The sequence below is a fragment of the Homo sapiens genome, chromosome 19 (genome assembly GCF_000001405.40).
Source record: "Homo sapiens chromosome 19, GRCh38.p14 Primary Assembly".
NCBI lineage: Eukaryota > Metazoa > Chordata > Mammalia > Primates > Hominidae > Homo > Homo sapiens.
Genome location: NC_000019.10, coordinates 15,912,307 through 15,934,963, shown reverse-complemented (window position 1 = coordinate 15,934,963; position 22,657 = coordinate 15,912,307). Strand labels below are relative to the sequence as shown.

At 46.1% G+C, this 22,657-nt stretch overlaps 1 protein-coding gene across 2 annotated transcripts; it reads left to right on the top strand.

Annotated features, from left to right (window-relative positions):
- CYP4F11 (cytochrome P450 family 4 subfamily F member 11) lies at positions 97-22,587 on the top strand. Of its 2 annotated transcripts, NM_001128932.2 has the most exons (13): positions 97-132; positions 555-753; positions 5,363-5,507; positions 7,481-7,534; positions 7,625-7,752; positions 10,082-10,203; positions 10,882-11,152; positions 12,534-12,600; positions 12,798-12,927; positions 20,069-20,202; positions 20,298-20,362; positions 20,577-20,659; positions 21,055-22,587. In NM_001128932.2, exons 2-13 carry the CDS (start codon positions 556-558, stop codon positions 21,230-21,232), a joined length of 1,575 nt encoding a protein of 524 aa, NP_001122404.1. In that variant the 5' UTR covers positions 97-132; position 555; the 3' UTR covers positions 21,233-22,587. The 2 variants fall into 2 exon arrangements, with proteins under 2 accessions (NP_001122404.1, NP_067010.3); NM_021187.4 differs by lacking the exon at positions 97-132 and having other exon boundaries at positions 435-753.

Here is a 22,657-nt window from a genome sequence, read left to right as displayed (position 1 = left end):
GTTGCCCAGGCTTGGAAGACACACCCAGTCCATGGGGATTGGCTCGACCAGCCCAGCCCAGCCTCGCCTCCCACAGCCTTCCGGAAATCAGGGGCCAGAGGCAAAGACCTCCTAGCAGAGGGGGAGAGGAGGGTATGTGGGACAAGCTGCTTCTGATAGGAGCCAGGCTGGCAGTGGCAGGGCTGGAGGGTCCTGGCCTGGGATGGGGAGGGGACTGCCCAAGGTTGGGGTGGGTCAAGGCTGCTGGCCTGGGAGACTGGTGATTTCCTGGTAACTGGACCCCTGGCAACCTCCCAGTGATTCAGGCTGGGCCTTTTTGGATTCTAATCAGCCTCTCTCTCTCTTTCCCTTTCTGTGTAACTGGAGGCCACTTGGCTGCTGGTTTTCATTGGGCATTTCTGGACTTTAGATCTCAGCTCTTGTTTACCCATCTCAGAGCCTTCCCTGATCTGCCTCCAGCACTGCCCATCCTTGCCCCTTTCCACTGTCCTTGGAGCTTCCTGGGCCCTTCCCTGGGCCTCAGGATCCCACCCTCCATCCCGTCTGCCCTGCAGGATGCCGCAGCTGAGCCTGTCCTGGCTGGGCCTCGGGCCCGTGGCAGCATCCCCGTGGCTGCTTCTGCTGCTGGTTGGAGGCTCCTGGCTCCTGGCCCGCGTCCTGGCCTGGACCTACACCTTCTATGACAACTGCCGCCGCCTCCAGTGTTTTCCTCAACCCCCGAAACAGAACTGGTTTTGGGGACACCAGGGCCTGGTGAGTTTGTCAGCAGGACGGGTCTGGGGTCTCAGGATGCATGGAGTTCCTGAGGGGCAGGAATGGGGCTCAGGGAGCTGGGTTTTGAGGGTGGCTGGGGTGTGGGAACACAGAGAAGAGAGGGAGGCAGCTCACTCATTCCTCTGCCCACTCACTCATTCCTCTCCCCGCTCACTCATTCCTCTGCCCACTCACTCATTCCTCTGCCCACTCACTCATTCCTCTCCCCGCTCACTCATTCCTCTCCCCGCTCACTCATTCCTCTCCCCGCTCACTCATTCCTCTCCCCGCTCACTCATTCCTCTGCCCACTCACTCATTCCTCTTCTCGCTCACTCATTCCTCTGCTCACTCACTCATTCCTCTCCTCACTCACTCATTCTTCTCCTCACTCACTCATTCTTCTCCTCACTCACTCATTCCTCTGCTCACTCACTCATTCCTCTCCTCACTCACTCATTCTTCTCCTCACTCACTCATTCCTCTCCTCACTCACTCATTCTTCTCCTCACTCACTCATTCTTCTCCTCACTCACTCATTCCTCTCCTCACTCACTCATTCTTCTCCTCACTCACTCATTCCTCTCCTCACTCACTCATTCTTCTCCTCACTCACTCATTCTTCTCCTCACTCACTCATTCCTCTCCTCACTCACTCATTCTTCTCCTCACTCACTCATTCCTCTCCTCACTCACTCATTCTTCTCCTCACTCACTCATTCCTCTCCTCACTCACTCATTCTTCTCCTCACTCACTCATTCCTCTCCTCACTCACTCATTCTTCTCCTCACTCACTCATTCCTCTCCTCACTCACTCATTCCTCTCCTCACTCACTCATTCCTCTCCTCACTCACTCATTCTTCTCCTCACTCACTCATTCTTCTCCTCACTCACTCATTCCTCTCCTCACTCACTCATTCCTCTCCTCACTCACTCATTCCTCTCCTCGCTCACTCATTCCTCTCCCCGCTCACTCATTCCTCTCCTCACTCACTCATTCCTCTCCTCACTCACTCATTCCTCTCCTCACTCACTCATTCCTCTCCCCACTCACTCATTCCTCTCCCCGCTCACTCATTCCTCTCCTCGCTCACTCATTCCTCTCCTCACTCACTCATTCTTCTCCTCACTCACTCATTCCTCTCCTCACTCACTCATTCCTCTCCTCACTCACTCATTCCTCTCCTCACTCACTCATTCCTCTCCTCACTCACTCATTCCTCTCCTCACTCACTCATTCCTCTCCTCACTCACTCATTCTTCTCCTCACTCACTCATTCCTCTCCTCACTCACTCATTCCTCTCCTCACTCACTCATTCCTCTCCTCACTCACTCATTCCTCTCCTCACTCACTCATTCCTCTCCTCACTCACTCATTCCTCTCCTCACTCACTCATTCCTCTCCTCACTCACTCATTCCTCTCCTCACTCACTCATTCCTCTCCTCACTCACTCATTCCTCTCCTCACTCACTCATTCCTCTCCTCACTCACTCATTCCTCTCCTCACTCACTCATTCCTCTCCTCACTCACTCATTCCTCTCCTCACTCACTCATTCCTCTCCTCACTCACTCATTCCTCTCCTCACTCACTCATTCCTCTCCTCACTCACTCATTCCTCTCCTCACTCACTCATTCCTCTCCTCACTCACTCATTCTTCTCCTCACTCACTCATTCTTCTCCTCACTCACTCATTCCTCTCCTCACTCACTCATTCCTCTCCTCACTCACTCATTCCTCTCCCCGCTCACTCATTCCTCTCCCCGCTCACTCATTCCTCTCCTCGCTCACTCATTCCTCTCCTCACTCACTCATTCCTCTCCCCGCTCACTCATTCCTCTCCCCGCTCACTCATTCCTCTCCTCGCTCACTCATTCCTCTCCTCGCTCACTCATTCCTCTCCTCGCTCACTCATTCCTCTCCTCACTCACTCATTCCTCTCCCCACTCACTCATTCCTCTCCCCGCTCACTCATTCCTCTCCTCGCTCACTCATTCCTCTCCTCGCTCACTCATTCCTCTCCTCACTCACTCATTCCTCTCCTCACTCACTCATTCTTCTCCTCACTCACTCATTCCTCTCCTCACTCACTCATTCTTCTCCTCACTCACTCATTCCTCTCCTCACTCACTCATTCTTCTCCTCACTCACTCATTCCTCTCCTCACTCACTCATTCTTCTCCTCACTCACTCATTCCTCTCCTCACTCACTCATTCCTCTCCTCACTCACTCATTCCTCTCCTCACTCACTCATTCCTCTCCTCACTCACTCATTCCTCTCCTCACTCACTCATTCCTCTCCTCACTCACTCATTCCTCTCCTCACTCACTCATTCCTCTCCTCACTCACTCATTCCTCTCCTCACTCACTCATTCCTCTCCTCACTCACTCATTCCTCTCCTCACTCACTCATTCCTCTCCTCACTCACTCATTCCTCTCCTCACTCACTCATTCCTCTCCTCACTCACTCATTCCTCTCCTCGCTCACTCATTCCTCTCCTCGCTCACTCATTCCTCTCCTCGCTCACTCATTCCTCTCCTCGCTCACTCATTCCTCTCCTCGCTCACTCATTCCTCTCCTCGCTCACTCATTCCTCTCCTCACTCACTCATTCCTCTCCTCGCTCACTCATTCCTCTCCTCGCTCACTCATTCCTCTCCCCGCTCACTCATTCCTCTGATGTGCCATCCCAAGTCTTTCTCACCTCCCTGTCCTCCCACTCCAGCCTGCTTGGATCTTTTTCCTGCCTGTCTTCCCTGTGTTACTGCACCTCTGAGGGTCTCCTGTGGGAGTGGTATGGGTGCACAGAGCAAAGATCTCCTGGCATTTGCACCTTCTCCACTGCTGGACTTGAGGCCTCCTGAGTCTACTGTCCAGGGACTACTCCCTGCCTGGCCCATTTGCTTGTGTCTGCCCATCTCTGTGCTGCTGCTTTCTCACAGGAATTAGCTCTGAGCCCCTTTCCATACGCAGGGACACAGAGGGTCCAGAAGAGAAGTGTGGGCAGTCTCCCGCTGCCTCCTTTTCTGGAGGCACCTTCCTCCTATCTTGCTCTTCCTCACTAACATGTCCCAGTCGGCCTTGTTACCTGCCTGAATAAAAGTTGGCCACTCCCTTCTCTTTTCAGAAGCTGTCCTTGACTCCGCAGACCTTGGCCTCCGACTTAGACCTGCTCTCCCATTTGGGGGACATGGCCTTGGTCTGCTCACTTGTAAATGGCAAAATTGATGGGCGTGTCCATCGGTGCAGTGGAGGGTGAATAGGACACACTAGCACAGAGCCTGGCCTGCAGGAGGTGCTTACTGTAGACAGTTAAGAGTCACTCCTCTACGCCTGGGGGCTGCTGAGAATGGAATGTCCCCAGTGTGGGAGGAACAGCCGCTGGTGGGGACCAGCCAGGACGTGAAAGGGATGTAGGAACCAGCCTCAGGGACATGTCCTGAGGCCACACTGCTGTCCACAGACCTCCTTCCATGCGGACTTTTCCATGTGGCCATCCCCAGGTTGAAACCATTTCCAAGACGAGAAAACACATCCTCTTGAGCAGACAGCTTGCCTTCTCCCTCTGCTTTGGTATTTACTCTTGGATCTTTTATTTATTTATTTATTTTTGAGACAGAGTCTCACTCTGTTGCCCAGGCTAGAGTGCAGTGGTGCGATCTCAGCTCACTGCAACCTCCGCCTCCCAGGTTCAAGTGATTCTCCTGCCTCAGCCTCCTGAGTACCTGGGACTACAGGTGTGAGCCACCATGCCTGGCTAATTTTTGTATTTTTAGTAGACACGGGGATTTCGCTGTGTTGGTCAGGCTGGTCCCGAACACCTGACCTCAGGTGATCCACCCACCATGGCCTCCCAAAGTGCTGGGATTACAGGCATGAGCCACCACGCCCGGCCATTATCTTTGGATCTTGGAGACAGCCCCAAGAGAGAAGGAGCAGGGGTCAGCTGAGATTCTCTGCAGCTGTTCAGAATCCAGACACGATGCTCAGGGCAGAGGCTGCACCACATCTGGAGGCTGCAGGGGGAACTTGATGTGGCTCCTGGTGGGGAGGTGCATTACTCAGGGTTCTCTTTAGAAACTGAATTGACAGGATATCTTCCCGCTTATATCTCATGCATGTATGAGACAGAGAGAGAGAGAGAGAGCGTGAGAGAGAGAGTTTATTACGGAAATTGGAAAATGTGATGATGGAGGACAAGAAGTCCCATGATATAGCATCTGCAAGCCAGAAACCAGGGACACTGGAGTTGTAAATTCAGTCTGAGTCCCAAAAGGCCTGAGAACCTGGAGTTCTCATGTCCAAGGACAGGAGCAGATGGATGAGCACATCCACCCTTTCCTCTGCCTCTTTGTTGTATCTGCACCATCAAAGGATTGGATGACACCCACCCCCACTGGGGAGGTGGATCATCCTTCCTCAGTTTACCTATTCAAATGTGAATCTCTTCTGGAAATACACCGATGGACACATCCAGAAATAATGTTTTACCAGCATGTTTTATCTGGGCATCTCTTGGCTCGGTCACGTGGAATTCATGATTAATTCAGGATGCCTAGAATTAACCATCACAAGGGCTGACGGCCTCTGCCTTGTTTTCAGGTCACTCCCACGGAAGAGGGCATGAAGACATTGACCCAGCTGGTGACCACATATCCCCAGGGCTTTAAGTTGTGGCTGGGTCCTACCTTCCCCCTCCTCATTTTATGCCACCCTGACATTATCCGGCCTATCACCAGTGCCTCAGGTACCCGTGCAGAGCTTGTGGTAGTGGGGGCTGGGAAACATCAAAGGCCTTCTAGCCTCTCCCCTCCCCAAGCTTCTGTGTGGCCCCTGCAGGGCCCAGGCCCCTCTTCCTGCTTCTCTCTCAGCCATGTTCCTCTTTCCTTCATGTATTCACGAACCCCCCATGTCAGCGTCTCCTCCCTCCACTGCCATCTCTCTCTGCCTTTGTGTTCTGGGCACCACTGGGGCTCCAAAAAGCCTCAATTTAGGGCCCTGTCCTCGAGAAAGCCCCGTGCTTGAGGAAATGGATCTGGACAGAGACATCTCAAACTTCGTGGAGTCAGGAATTGGCAAGAAGGAGATGGGTGTGACAACTGGGAGAACAAGGTCTTTCCTGGGGGCAGATTGGAAGGCTTCCTGGAGGAGGAGTTGCTGGAAAAATGAGTAAAAAGATTTTAAAGCAAGGGGAAGGGTGATGCAGTGGACATCATTAGTATACAGGTACCGCTGCCAGGCCTGGCATCAGCCTTGTCTGTCCCTAAGCCTATGGTACTAGGGGGATTTGAGGCTGGTGGAGAATCTGGGCTGCTATTTATGTGATGTTCAAGTCTGGTGAGTTTATTCCTTTTACCTCATCCTGTCACTCATCCACCCTATTCATGGCTCTCCTGCTCCAGGCCCCAGCAATCTCCAGTAGGAGATCCCACCCCAGTCTGGGGCCCTTTCTTTACCTCTGCTCATCCTGTGCTTGAACAGGCCAGACTAAGCAGGGGCAGGGGAAGCATCCCACAGAAACTATGGCTATAACCTCAGGATGCTGAGTGACTCTGGGCAGGTCCTCAGCTCTCTCTGGCTGCTGAAGTCTCTTTCAGTTGCGAGTGATGGAAACTCAGACTCATGTGGTCTAAGCAAATAAAGAGAATCAATGTGCTGTAAGTCTGGGGAGAGTGGTCTTCAGGCATGGTTGGATCCAGGTGTCAATTAATCCACATCACTGGGAATCTGTCTCCTTCTCTCGATTTTACCATTCTCTGTGTCACTTTGCCTTTTCATATGGTGTCAACGATGAGTCTCAGAAGCCCAGTTCCAATCAGAAAGCCCACCTTTCTTCCAAGGGTCCCATATATAGCCTATGTTTTCTACATTATATTTGATTGTATCTGGTATATGCTTCCACCTGGGATCATATACAGAAGTCATCATGTGTGGGGCTCAGTTGTGGCTGAGGACATTTGGGGCATGTCAGAGTCTTTTTGGTTCTTGTCTGAGATGTAGTGTGAGATTGTCTTTTTATTCTACTTCAAATGTCTTGGCCATGTTTGGTGCTTGTCCAAGGTGTAGGACCCAGGGAATCTTTGAGAACTGTCTGAGATATTATTTGAGTCTTAGTATAGTTAGGTCTTAGGGTAGATTTGAATTATGCCGAAGAATAGGCTTGGTTATACCCGGGCCATGTTTAGGACATTAGTGACATCATATTTAAATGTTATCTAGGACCCTTCACTGGGATACACAGAAGTCATATCAGACCATCTCAGGTCCATGGCAGAGCATGTTGTGTCATTTAGGGTTTGTCATATGTGTTTTGGCCATGTCAGGGAATGTTAACAACTGTCGGGGCAATATTCCAGGTCCCAGATCCATGTCAGAAGATAGCAGAGAGTGCTGGGAGTAGACAGAGTGTCCTAGGTCCCTGTAAAGGCATTCTGTAGAGTGTTGAGCTATGCTCAGGTGTTGCAGAACATGTTGGACCTTGTAGGAGATATGTCACTGTGTGCTGGGGCATGCTGTGTTATTGCTCTACTCTGTCGCTGCAGCCTGGTCTGGTCTCTCCTTCCTCCACCATCCTCCCTTCTTCCTCTACCCTTGGCCTTCTTCCTGCTATGCTGGGTGGGATGCGTGGAAGTGCACACCCCTGGCTGGGAGCATTCCTCCATACCCAAAGTCCTTCTCTCACCCCTCTCCATGGCCACTGATGGTCCTCAATCATGTCAGCTGCTGTCGCACCCAAGGATATGATTTTCTATGGCTTCCTGAAGCCCTGGCTGGGTGAGTAATTGAGGTGAATGGGGTTGGGGATATCCTTTAGGGATAAGGGAGGGTGCTGCCCTTGACCACTGTCCTTGGTTGCCCTGCCAGGGGATGGGCTCCTGCTGAGTGGTGGTGACAAGTGGAGCCGCCACCGTCGGATGTTGACGCCTGCCTTCCATTTCAACATCTTGAAGCCTTATATGAAGATTTTCAACAAGAGTGTGAACATCATGCACGTGAGTCCCTTGAACTCTGGGTCCCAGCTGGAGCCTTGGGGTAGAGGGACCACAGGCATATCTGCTCTGGAATTTTGGTTGTGCTTTGGGGACAATGCTCTTCCTCTCTGAGCCTTGGTTTCCCTATCTGTAAAATGGGAATAACAATCTCTACTTAAAAGGTGGTAATGGATTCATGTCCCCAGCACATAGTATGTCTCAAAAGGTGTGAGTTTCCATGCTTCTCTCACAGAAATCCTTCAAACTCAAGAGAGTAAAGATCAAGATTGCATAGTAGCAATTGCTGAGTACAAACCGCCTGAAAACTCATTGGTTTAGAGCAATAAGGGTTTATTATACTTAACAAGTGTGTGAGACAGTTGGCTGGTTCTTCTGCATGTGGATGGGATCACTCTTGGTACATGAACAGCTGTGGGTCATGTGGGCAGCTTTGCTGATCCTGGCTCAGTTTATTCACATGTTTGTTTGGGGCTTTGCTAGCTTTAGGCTGACCTGGGATGGCCTCAGCTGTGACACCTGGACTTTTCTCCATGTGTTTCTCTGCCTCCCGGAGGCACCCTGCTGTTCACATGGCACAGACTGGGTTCTGAGAGACTGCCAGGAGACTGCAATGTCTCTGGACATTTTCTCTGCAATGTTTCAAAGTTCAACCAGGCTTAGGTTAGCACAGACTCAAAGGGTCATAAAACAGTCTCCATCTCTTAATAGAAGTTGCTGGAAATCACAGTGCAAAGGGAGAAGTGAAGAATTGGGAGTTGGGATTTTGTGAAGTGCTTAGGATGTTTTTCTTAATTGCAAGCTGATAAGCTAGTTTTGTTAATACTTCATGGATTCTGCAAGGAGATACGAGAGTCCTGGGTCAGAGACAAACAGCAATTTATTACTCACGGCATAGCAAGCAGCATGTTCTTGGTTTGCATAATTTCTCCAAACCACTTAAATCCCACGGGGTGCCATAGAGAGGTTTGAATAGTTGCCTGCTTATGCAGTACGGTGCATGGAAGGAAAGGAGCACTAGGCTTAGGGAATCTGCTTTCTTTTTTTTTTTTTTCTGGAGTCTCACTCTGTCACTCAGGCTGGAGTGCAGTGGCATGATCTCTGCTCACTGCAAGCTCCACCTCCCGGGTTCACGCCATTGTCCTGCATCAGCCTCCTGAGTAGCTGGGACTATAGGCGCCCATCACCATGCCCGTCTAATTTTTTGTATTTTTAGTAGAGACGGGGTTTCACCATGTTAGCCAGGATTGTCTCGATCTCCTGACCTCACGATCCACCTGCCTTGGCCTCCCAAAGTGTTGGAATTACAGGCATGAGCCACTGCACCCGGCCGGGAATGTGCTTTTTTAGCAAGCAGAAGCAAGCCTGATATGTGTCCAGGAGCAGTCATTGCCTTATCTCTCAATGTTGTTCTCTGCAAACACAATTCTGAGAAACGGCCCAAACAACTACAGGGTGTGTGTGTGTGTGTGTGTGTGTGTGTGTACATATATGTATATATATATGTGTGTGTATATATATATACACACACACATTTGCTTTAAGTTCTGGGATACATGTGCAGAACGTGCAGGTTTGTTACGTAGGTATAAATGTGCCATGGTGGTTTGCTGCACCCACCAACCCGTCATCCAGGTTTTAAGCCCCACATGCACTAGGTATTTGTCCTTATGCTTTCCTTCCCCTTGTCCCCAAACCCCTGACAGGACCCAGTGTGTAATGTTCCCCTCCCAAGTAATAGGGATATTTTTGAAATGAATTTATAGCAATGGAGATGAGTAAAACCAACATTTACTGAGCACTCACCATATCCCAGAAACAGTACCATTTGCCAACTCCATGATACATATTTAGGAATTTAATTTTAATAACCCCATGAGGCTTTGGTTGGTTTTGCCCTGTTGCAGACTATGAAACTGAGGTCCAGAGAGATTAGGGAGTTTGCCAAAGTTCAACCAGATAGTAAGTGAGCTACGAGTGGTGGAGCAGTGATTCTGTCCTGGTTTATCTGGCCCCAAAGCATGTTGTCCTAACTGTTACTGAAGATTTGATAGATGGGACCTATGGGAGTGCAGGAGGTTGACCAAGAGCACACAGACCATAGGAGGCTGAACTGGGACTTGAACCCAGATCTCTCGACTCCCAGCCATGAGTCTTTATCTCCTAATAGTAACAGTTTCTGCTCCTATCCAAGGCTGGTCCTTCCTGGGGATGGGTACCTGGGGCAGAGGACCAGGAGGATGATTGCAGGGAGTCCATCTTGATGTTTGGGTCTGGGAAGGTGCTCCCAGGAGGCAGTTCCCAGCTTTGGCTCTGTTTTTTCTCTGGCCAGGACAAGTGGCAGCGCCTGGCCTCAGAGGGCAGCGCCAGACTGGACATGTTTGAACACATCAGCCTCATGACCTTGGACAGTCTGCAGAAATGTGTCTTCAGCTTTGAAAGCAATTGTCAGGAGTGAGTCCTTTCCTAGGACCTGAGAACTTGGGCCTGGAACCCAAGGGAGTAGGCTGGAAAAGGATGGCTGACCGGGGTAACCAGAAGTGCCTTTCTGAAGGCACTTTCTGTGTGTCATAGCTGGGCTTTGAAGGATGGGGAGGGGGAAAGAGACAGTAGACATGAGGTTGTGGAAGTAGACAGGGGATAGATTTCAGGACATTGAAAATCAGGAAAAGTGGCATGAACTTTATCAGGAGGTTCCCAGGAATCTTTTGAAGAGGGTTGGGCCGATGACAGATGTGGTCACAGCTGAGCTCTGTGGAGGTCTGCCTGTCATGTAGACGCTACATGGAGCAGACATTGAATGCAAGTCTGTTATGGTGGGGGCTGGGTCAGAAAGAGCTGGAAGACAGTGAGGTCTGAGTTTTGTGAACAGTTTTTGGAAGGAAAAGAGTGCAGGCTGGATACTGGGTGGGAGAGACGGGAGAGAAGCATGGTGTCCAAGCTATGCTCTGGGTACCTTGGTGCATGGAGGCAGCTCTCAGAGATGGAATGCCTCAGAGAAGAGAGTTTGGAGAGTCAAGTCTCCTGGCTGTTTCTGGATACTCAATTTCCTGATGGGCAGTAGCTTCTAGCTGCTGGTGAGAGGTGCTCCTGGGACTTTGCATATGTTAAGTTGTTACCTCCTTCATGCAGGAAGCCCAGTGAATATATTGCCGCCATCTTGGAGCTCAGTGCCTTTGTAGAAAAGAGAAACCAGCAGATTCTCTTGCACACGGACTTCCTGTATTATCTCACTCCTGATGGGCAGCGCTTCCGCAGGGCCTGCCACCTGGTGCACGACTTCACAGATGCCGTCATCCAGGAGCGGCGCTGCACCCTCCCCACTCAGGGTATTGATGATTTCCTCAAGAACAAGGCAAAGTCCAAGACTTTAGACTTCATTGATGTGCTTCTGCTGAGCAAGGTAGGCTTCTCTGGGATGTGAATTCAAGTAATAGAGTGGAGATTTATGCCTCTGTCAAATGAAAGAACTTGGACTTGATCCAAAGGGCACTGGGAGCCATGGAACATGCTTGAAAAAGACAGGTCAGAGATAGGTTTGAGAGATGACTCTGTGGAATTCAGCTGGCAGGGGACTGCTAAGTTTGAAATAGTGAGGAGCCTGAGATTTTACTCTACTTACATGTTAGCAAGTTAGGCTGACATATTTTTATGCATATCTATCTATGTCTATATCTATGATGACAGATGCACCAAATCCCTGGATCACAGCAGCCTATTCATCATTCACAGCAATAGCAGCAACCAGAGTAGGATTGTAGAGCTGGCTCTCTATTCCCATATTCCTTCTAGGGTAATGCAATGTTTTTACCTGTAAATACACCAGAATGCACTGCAGAGAGGGGCCCCACAGTATACATCTTGGGGCTTATATAGGATAGCTAGCTAGCACATCTGCCCCTTCTTCCTTCCAGGGCGAGAGTGGGAATGAGAAAGAGAGAGAGAGAGAGAGAGAGAGAGAGAGAGAGAGAGAGAGGATGTTTGCTTTGTTCTGGAATAAAAACTACTCCTTTCCAGTGAGATCGACATGCCTGTAGGTTTATAGGTTTATAACCCAGATGCCTTCTGGAAAGATAAGAAGTATTCTCTGAGTTTACCACTCTAGAATGTGAGCAAATACATTCAGAGTAATACTTCAGTTCTTTCTTTCTTTCATTTTTTTTGAGACAGAGTTTCACTCTTGTTGCCTAGGCTGGAGTGCAATGGTGTGATCTTGGCTCACTGCAACCTCTGCCTCCCGGGTTCAAGTGATTCTCCTGCCTCAGCCTCCTGAAGAGCTGGGATTACAGGCATGCAACACCATGCCAGGCTAATTTTTTTTTTAGTAGGGACGGGGTTTCTCCATGTTGGTCAGGCTGGTTGCGAACTCCCGACCTCAGGTGACCCACCTGCCTCGGCCTTCCAAAGTGTTGGGATTATAGGCGTGAGCCATTACGCCCAGCCAATACTTAATTTCTAACCTCCAAGTGAAATTGCCATTGAAATATGCTGTAACCCAGGTTGCCAGTTAATGCTTTACTCCAAAAGTCCTCATTATTCGAAACAAGAAAATATCCATAGGTCATTGACTCTTCCCAGCAGGGCCAAATAGGAGGTGAAGAAGCCAGCGGGAAGCCTGTGGGTGGTGGGCTCTGATGGTGGTGACCAAGAGACATCTAGGAGTGCATGATGGGCTTGGGTTTCTGGAAGGAGGATGGATCTTCAGAAATTATCTTAGGTTTGACTCAAGAGCCTTCAGAGCTGGTGTGATTTGGGGCAGGGATATTGTCTTGCCTTCTCTCCAGGATGAAGATGGGAAGGAATTGTCTGATGAGGACATAAGAGCAGAAGCTGACACCTTCATGTTTGAGGGTGAGGGTCTCAGTGTGGGACTACGGTGGGGACAGGGGCCTCTCCATCCCAGGAACGTAGTGGGTGGACCCTGGATCACTTAATTCTGCCCATCCTCCTCCTCCCTACATTCTCCTGAGGGCCTCAGAGTTTGGGTGCTCTCCTCCCTCTGGTGCTGAAGCAGCCCAGAAACCCAGTTTTGCTTGGCTGCCCCTCAGGCCATGACACTACAGCCAGTGGTCTCTCCTGGGTCCTATACCACCTTGCAAAGCACCCAGAATACCAGGAACAGTGCCGGCAAGAAGTGCAAGAGCTTCTGAAGGACCGTGAACCTATAGAGATTGAATGGTGAGTGCAGGTGCTGGCCTGTTCCTGATCTTTTGTCATTGGTTCTGCTCCTCAGGTGGGCAGAGGGAGGGAGTTTTTTTGGTCAATTCTTCCATTATCGCTTAGTGGGAATCGGTGCAAATCTCAGAGGCAGGGCTTAATACACAGCCAGGCCAGCAGGGGATGGTTTGCAGGCTTTTGGGACCTGGGCTGCTGGGAGAATTTGTGACAGCATGTGAAGGCAGATGATGCCACTTAGCATGTGTTCAGCAAATGAATTTCTCCTCCACCTCCTCTTTTCACTGAATTATCATGTTTTTTCAAACATCTTCACTTTCTGAATGTTTGCTCTTCCTTACCCTAATTTCAATCCTGTTGTACAGTCCAGGGATTTATAAGAGAGACCTGAGGGTAAAAGTCATTCATTCCTATCCAGAACACCTGCATTGTTCATCCATCCAGTCTTCATTCAGCAAATGCTCCTACACTGTATTCCTATCCCCAGTTTTGTATCTAGCACCTTTCGGTGCTCTGGAGAGCTTGGAAGAATCCAGCCCTGCGATCTGTTTTCCAGGTGCTCCCAGCCTGGTGGGGGAACAGTCCCAGGACAGGAAACTCCCAGCCCACATGGGCAGGGATGAGGCTGAGAACAAGAGAAGCATGACTGGAGGTACAGAAAGTGTCTCACCCGGCCACAGTGGCTGGCACCTGTAATCCCAGCCACTCAGGAGGCTGAGGTGGGAGGATCACTTGAGGCCAGTACTTCAAGATGAGCCTGGACAACATAGTGAGAATTTTTCTCTAAAAGACATGAATAGATGAAAATAAAAGTGAGGTGTCTCAGTTGAGATCCTTAATAATGATCAGTAGATATTTGGATGCAGTAGGGCTCTAGGTCAAGAAGAGAGCCTAGGCAAAGGTCGAGGGAGGAGAGAGGGAGTGAGAGAGAGAGGGAGAGAGAGAGAGAGAGAGAGAGAGAGAGAGAGAGAGAGAGAGAGAGAGACAGAAAGAGAGAGAGAGAGAGACCAAGAGTGAGAGAAACAGAGAGAGAGAAGAGAAAGAAAAGAGGGAAAGAGAGAAGTGGCTTGTGTGCAGGGGGAGGGAGAAGGTCATAAAAAGAGAATGGAGAGAGAAGGAAAGCAAGAGAGAAAGAAAGAGAGAGGGAAGACAGAAACAGAGAGATGAATAGAGAGGGAGAAACTGAGTCATGATGAGATGATGAACCTGGAGATGGCAGCAGAGCCTGGGTGTGGAATACATGGAAAAAAAAGTCAAGAACTTCAATTTTAACTCAAGGGCAATGGGAAGAGACAGGTAGCAGGAGAATCTTTTTAGGGCTAGTGTAGAGGGCATACTGGAGAGGACCAGTTGTAGAAGGAAGTCCCAGGGAAGGACATTCTGAGGTCTGAGCCAGGCCAGGAGCTGGGGATGGAGAGGAGACATTGAGCTGGACAGGCCTTTTGAAGGTAGTGCCCTTACATCCAAGCCTTTGCTCAGCACAGGGTCCTGTAAGGTGGAGAAACATTTTTATGCTTTTAAAACCAAGATTTCAAGCAAAATTACACATTGTTTAAAAAAGTGTCCAAAAATTTTGATAAAAAATGAGCTTCCTTCTTAAGCCTCACACTCCTCACTCTGGCAGTTTCCATCATCAATGGTTTTCTGTGTGTCCTAGAAAATGGCTATCCTGATGCCCACTGTATATGAACACATGCTCTCTTTTTCTGTGTGAGTAGGAGTACATAAAATAGACACAGGTCTGCCCACTAACAATGTATCTTTACCATCTTCTGTTTTTCTCAAAATATGAGTTTTAGAAAATGAGTTTGTTTTTTAATTTGTCTTTATTTTTAATTGACAAATTTTGATTATATATATTTATGGGGTACACTGTGATGTTATGATGTACACAATGCAGAATGATTAAATCCACCTGATGGTCATATCCATTACCTCATATACTTATTATTTTAGCAGTGAGAACATTTGAAATTTTCTCTTTTAGCCGTTTTGGAAAACATAATCTATTATTATTAACTGTAGTCACCATGCATATAATAGATCTCAAAACTTTTTCCTCCCGTCTAATGGAAACTTGTACCCTTTGACCAACATCTTCCTGTTCTTTCTTCCTCCCTCCTCTGGCAACCACCATTTTCTTCTGTCTCTGTGATTTCTATGTAACCTATTTTAGCTCTCACAGGTAATTGAGATCATTTGCTATTTGTCTTCTTGTGCCTGGCTTATTTCACTTAGCATAATGTCCTCCAGAATCATCCATATTGTCACCAACGACAGGATTCTTTTCATTTTAAAGACTGAGTACCATTCTATTTTGCATTTATACATGGAAAATGAGTGTTGACTTCCAAAAGCAATGATGAGAACAGATTCTTCTTGGACTCAATGCGACACTACAGATAAGACAGGGTTTAACCTTGACATTCCCACCACCCCACCTAATATCCTCGCTTTCCCTAAAGGGGTCTCTTGAGACATCAATTTGTCATCTAACTGTCTGCTTATCTATCTGTCTATCTATCTATCTATCTATCTATCTATCTATCTATCTATCTATCTATCTATACATCTGTCCATCCGTTCATCCATCCATCCATCCATCCATCCATCCATCCATCCATCCGTCCATCCATCCTTTATCCTATCTATTCATCCTTCTTGTCTATCTATCTATCTATCTATCCATCCATCGATCTATCTATATCATCTATTTCCATATATATACTATGTATTTTATTTATATAAATAGGAGTCAATGAAATATATACATATTTATATATTTTAATATATATTAAATTTATTAACATATTTATTTAATTTAATAATTAGGAGTCAATGAAATGTATATATTTCATATACATAGAAATATATATTTCCATATATACTATATATATTCCTAATTATTAAATTATAATGTTATTAATATGTTTATTTAATTTAATAATTAGGAGTCAATGAAATGTGTATATTTCCATATACATAGAAATATGTATTTCATATATATATATACTATGTATTTTGCCCTTTGCTATTTACATGTATGCATTTTGTGGCTTATTTTTGCCACTCGACAGTGTGTCTTACAGCTGTTTTTTTTTTTTTTAGCATGGCATAACATTCCATATTTTATTTGTTTCACACCTTTGTTGAAAGCACTTGTGTATCTTTCCAGTTATTGTAGATATGGCCAATTTGCCTTCCAGAATCTCTGTACTGATTTACCTTCCAGCCTGCATTGTGTGACACAGCTAGTGACCTGTTTCCTCCTTTTTTGTAGTTGCATTGTATTCTATGGTACTAGCATTCTGTTGTGTGGATGTTTATCTAAACCTCTTTCCATCAATGTATATTTAGCTTGTTTCAGACTTTTGCTAAATTAAACCTGTTGCAGTCAGCATGTGTGTACAGTGACCATTGCTTATTTGTGTGAATATCTCTGCAGGACAAATTCCCAAAAGTGCAATTGCAGAATAAAAGGCCATTTTACTCCACAATTTTAATAATAATAAAAAATCTATTCCTATTAGCTGAGTTTGATGGCAACAGCTTTCCCATAACTTCGCCAAGAGTATTACATTATTATTATTATTTTTTTCAACTTTTATTTTAAGTTTCAGGCTATGCAGGTTGGTTACATAGGTAAACGTGTGCCATAGTGGTTTGCTGCACCTATCAACCCATCGCCTTGGTATTAAGCCCAGCATCCATTAGCTATTCTTCCCGATGCTCTCACCTCCCCAACCCCTCCCTGTGACAGGCCCCAGAGTGTGTTGTTCCCCACCATGTGTCCATGAGTTTCCCTTGTTCGGCTCCCACTTGTAAGTGAGGACATGTGGTGTTTGGTTTTCTGTTCCTGCATTAGTTTGCTGAGAATAACGGCTTCCAGCTCCATCCATGTTCCTGCAAAGGACATGATCTTGTTCATTTTTATGGCTGCATAGTATTCCATGGTGTATATGAACCACATTTTCTTTGTCTGGATTATCACTGATGGGCATTTGGGTTGATTCCTTGTCTTCACTATTCTGAATAGTGCTGCAATGAACATATGCATGCATATATCTTTATAACAGAATGATTTATATTCATTTGGATCTATACCCAGTAATGGGATTTCTGGGTCAAATGGTATTTCTGCCCCTAGATCTTTGAGGACTCACCACACTAAATTTTTGTCAGTCTGCATATTTCTTCTTTTAGTGAACGTTTCCTTAAATAAGAGTGGGATAGAACATCTCTTGCCATTTTTTTTCTTTTTGTGGAAGAGATCATCTTACATTGCTGTTTTCCTTTGGGTTATTTTCCCATATTTACTTATGAGACTATGTGTTAAAATAAATCTTTTTTTCTGTCTTTTGTTGCCTTTTGACTTCTTGGGGACACTTTTGGTTAGTTTATATGAAGCCAATTTTGTCCACATTTTCTTTTGTAGCTGTACTATCCATCCATTTCCCAGGGTTTTGTGGGGCTTCCTTTACCAGATGTGGGTTTTCACTTATTCACATATCTGTCTCTGAGCTCCCTATTCCATTCTTTGGTCTGTTTTTCTGTTCTTGCAGCTTTGCCATGCTACATTTGTTACTGTAACTCAGTAATAGGTCTTAATGTCTGGTAGAATGACTTTCTCTTCTGTTTTTATTTCAGTAATTTGGGGGTGGGGTACAGGTGGTTTTTGGTTACATGGATGAGTGCACCTGTCTCCTAAACAGTGTACACTGTACTCAATATGTAACCTTTTATCCCTTGCCTCCCTCCCAACGTCCCTCCCTGAGTCCCCAAAGTCCATTATATCACTCTGTATATTTTTGCATCCTCATAGCATAGCTTCCACTTATAAGTGAGACTATATGATATTTGGTTTTTTATTCTTGAGTTACTTCACTTAGAATAATGGTCCCAGCTCCATCCAAGTTGTTGCAAAAGACATTATTTCATTCCTTTTAATGGCTGAGTAGTATTCTATGGTGTATATATGTCACATTTTCTTTATCCACTCATTTGTCAGTGGGCACTTAGATTGGTTCCATATCCCTGCAATTGTGAATTGTGCTACTATAAGCATGCGTGTGCATGTGTCTTTTTCATATAACGACTTCTTTTCCTTTGGGTAGATACCTAGTAGTGAGATTGTTGGATGGAATAGTAGATCTACGTTTAGTTCTCTAAGGAATCTCCTTACTGCTTTCCACAGAGGTTGTACTAATTTACATTTGCAGCAGCAATGTAAAAGTGTTCCCTTTTCACCATATCCACACCAAAATCTATTGTTTTTTGACTTTTTAGTTATGGTTATTCTTGCAGAAGTAGGGGGTATCTCACTGTGGTTTTAATTTGTATTTCCCTGATGATTAGTGATGAGCATTTTTAAATATGTTTGTTCACCGTTTGTACATTTTCTTTTGAGAAATGCCTATTCATGTCTTTGCCTACTTTTTGATGGGGTTATTTGATTTTTTGCTTGCTGATTTGTTTGAGTTCCTTGTAGATTCTTGATACTAGTCCCTTGTCAGATGCATAATTTGCAAATATTTTCTTCCACTATGTGGGTTGCCTGTTTACTCTGCTGATTGTTTCTTTGGTTGTGCAGAAGCTTTTTAGTTTAATTAGGACCGATTTCTTTATTTTTGTTTTTGTTGCATTTGCTTTTGAGGTCTTAGTCATGCATTCTTTGCCTAAGCCGACTTGCTTTTCTCTAATATTTTATTTTCAGATTGACCTAGCTCTTTATGATGTTTTTCTTCCCAAAAAAGTTTAGAGTAAGTTCATCAAGTTCCTAAAAATTAGATAGATTATCATTTGCACTGAATATATTCTCTTGTTTGACTTGAATATGTGATTGATATGTGTGAAAACAGGTAACATCATAATATTGACACATAGTTTGTCATAGTAAAATGGTTATTAATGTATTCAAATAATATTTAAGCTTTTAATAGAGCTTAAAATATTTGCCTAGATATCATATGCATGTTTTGTTAAATCAATCCTTAGATATTTTGTTGCTATGGTGAAATGTATCTTTTATTCAGATAGAGGGAAATGTATAAATTCATTGGAAATACAGAGACTTTACGTCTCTTGTTAAAATTTAATTCAGATATTTTATATTATTATCATTATTATTAATATCTTATCTTTTATCTTTTTCCAGATGCTTCTTATTTTCCTGGAAAAAAAATCAACTCAATCTGGTTGCCATGTCTTATAATAGGACAATGTTTAGATTACTCAAGTATATAGTTTTTTTTAAAGGCTGTTAAAAGCTCTAGAAGAAACCATGGGAAAATTATTTTATAGCTTCAGAGTAGGGATAACCCTATTTTGATACAAGTCCCAGGAGCTACACAAGAAAAGACTGACATACTGTTAAATGAGAAAAGATATGGAATATGTGTATAGTATATGATGTACTCATATTTTTAAGATACTAAAAATTATCTCTAGAAAGATACATAAAAATAATAATAACTTAGGCAACCTGTGAGGAGAAGAAGCAGGTGACTTTGGGCCATAGGGGTAGAGGATGTTTTATAGTTTTTAAATTTAGAGCCACTTAAGTGTACAATGTATTAAAATTTTAAACAGCCACAGAAAAAGAAGAAAGATTAAGCAAACAATTCAGCTCCCTTACTGGGTCTTAAATGTTTATAAATGTTTTCCAGTGAAGTGTTCTGTTTTTCTAAGTATAAAATCACCGTCTGCCACCACCACATTTCAAATTGCATTCCTCTCTTTTTTATTCCCTTGTCTAATTGCATTTGCTACTATCGCTAATACAATGATGAATAAGAGCAAAACAGTGGATCTGGGTATTTTGTTTCTTATTCACTTGCATTTTGTGTTTGCTTTCTTACCATAAAGGATATTTACCTTTAGGCCAATATGTTAACCTTTTTAATAGCTGGCTTCAGAGTGTTGTGTTTTCCTCAGAATAATCTTTAAAAAATCGGCACCATTTTTTTCTGGTACTTTTCTAATTTTCTGCTTTTCTAATTTTTTTCTGCTTTTTAAATTCTCCAGTATTTCATCCATGTGGAATTTATTTTGTGATAGGGAGAAAAAGTCTCGCTTGGAAACAGAGAAGCTGGAGAATTGTGTCTTTGTTCCCTTGATAATGATTGGGGCTGGGGTGTTTTCTTAGGGACGACCTGGCCCAGCTGCCCTTCCTGACCATGTGCATTAAGGAGAGCCTGCGGTTGCATCCCCCAGTCCCGGTCATCTCCCGATGTTGCACGCAGGACTTTGTGCTCCCAGACGGCCGCGTCATCCCCAAAGGTGCTCACAGCCTCAGGGGGAGGAGCCTCCTGGGTAGCAAGAGGGGTCCCTCAGGCAGGGGGGCCTTGTCCTGACTGCCCTCTTCTCTCCCACAGGCATTGTCTGCCTCATCAATATTATCGGGATCCATTACAACCCAACTGTGTGGCCAGACCCTGAGGTAGTGCCTCCCTCACCCCACCCTTTTTGGAGTCCATTCCAAGGTTCCTAGAGGAGGTGACAGGGTTTTGACCAGGAAAATCCAACATCACCTCTCCTCAATGGAGACACATCTGCCAAAATGTCTCTCCAAGGCCGGGGGTCTTGGAGACAACTGGGAGACCCCACCCAACTGGGTGACCCCACCCAGCAAGCCTTCTTGGTCTCACCTGCAGGTCTACGACCCCTTCCGTTTCGACCAAGAGAACATCAAGGAGAGGTCACCTCTGGCTTTTATTCCCTTCTCGGCAGGGCCCAGGTAAGGATGGCCTGTGTCTGAGGCAGAGATGGCATGATGGGTGCAGGGGTCCAAAAAGGGGGAAGTTACAGATGGTCCCAGTTCCAGCTCTCCTTCCCTCCCTTCCTCAGGAGTTCATGGGCAACTGTTCACAGAATGGGTTTGGGAAGGTCCTAGAGGGGTCTGCGGTGTGCTCAGAGTCCCCTCCTTCATCTGTTTATCTGAACTGGGGGTAGGAGCCTGGGCCAGGTTTGGGGGATATGCAAGCACACATGGGAGTCCTGTGGACACTTATCCCCTCTTTCTGCCCCTCAAGCCTATGTGGGTGCGTTTGGGGTCCCAGGCCAGGTTCTAAGCATGATGGGGCCGGGATGGGGGTCATGGGCACAGTCAGATTCCCTCACTTTTGCCCCCAGAAACTGCATCGGGCAGGCGTTCGCCATGGCTGAGATGAAGGTGGTCCTGGCGCTCACCCTGCTGCACTTCCGCATCCTGCCGACCCACACTGAACCCCGCAGGAAACCCGAGCTGATATTGCGCGCAGAGGGTGGACTTTGGCTGCGGGTGGAGCCCCTGGGTGCGAACTCACAGTGACTGTCCTACCCACCCACCCACCTCTGTAGAGTCCCAGAAACAAAACTATGCTGACACCTCTGCTTGAGCCTCGTTGACAGCCAGCATGGGGCTCCTGGGGACTGGTGGGATCTAAGAAAGGGAGGTGAGTGGGTGGAGGCAGGGTGACGTCTCTGAACCCAAAACCCTGACGGCCTCTCTGGCTGAGCACAGGGCATCTAGGCCCTTAGTGGGTTCTCCCAGAGCCCAAGTAAAAACTTTATCCTGTGGGCAGTAGGGAGCCCTGGGAGGTGTTTGAGCAGGAGAGGGAACAGGATTAAGAATGGGTTTAAGGAGCAAGACTGAGACTCTGATTCAGCGAGAAACAACCATAGGGGCAGATCCCTTCATCTGTCCTGGGAATGTCCTCCCAAGACTGGAGTCCTCAGCTCAGAACAAAGGGAAAGGGGTGCAGCTTCCACCCTGGCAGGCTCTCAGAAATTTTTAGTTCCTTTTTCCACCAACTTCCCACCCCTGTTTCTCCCCCTCCCAGTGCGTTCTCTCTGTGACTCTCTTCCCTTACTTTCAGAGGCATAGGATCTGGAGCCAGACTGCTTGGGCTCAAGTCCTGGCTCTGCTGCGTGACTTGAGCAAGTTAATTCCTCTCTCTGTGCCTCGGTTCCCTCAACCATATAATGGAGACAACAGCATTACCTATATCAGGGTTTTCCTGAGGTCTCAATATAAGGGACTCAGAGCTGTGCCTGGCACACAATGAATGCTAAATATATGGAGCCATTATTATTTCCTGTCTCAGAAAGTCTGGCTGTTAAAGAATGTTGTCTTTCAAGATCGTTATTTCTACCACGACTTTAAAGGCTGTGTTTTGGAACTCAAAGGCAAAAATTCTAATATCTGTGCTCCTTGAACAACCTCTTCTCCTAGAGGGCTGTGCATATAAGATATGTATATATATATATATATTATATATATATATATATACACACACACACACACACACACACACATATATACATATACACACACACACACACACACACACACACACACACACATATATATATATATATATTTTTTTTTTTTTCCTGAGGATGGTGAAGGTACCTGACTGTGTGAGGTGGTAGGAGAATGAGAGAAACCTCAGTCAGTGTCTCAAAATAAAATCCTGCTACAAACATTGATCTCTTTTCATAGCCTAAGGGATGTTGCATCGCTAAACCCTGTTGACTTCTCTAATCTCTTCTGTAGCTGATCTCCTTCCCTTGCTACACTCGGTTACTCTGGCCTTGATTCTGATCTCCAAATACATTATATTTTTTATTTGGGACCATCGTATTGCCTTTGCACCTTTATCAAATATAAGTTGCCTATATTTATTTGGATCTATTTTTTGGGCTTTTAATATTCTGTTCCATTGACCTATTTCTCTTTTCTTTTACCAATACC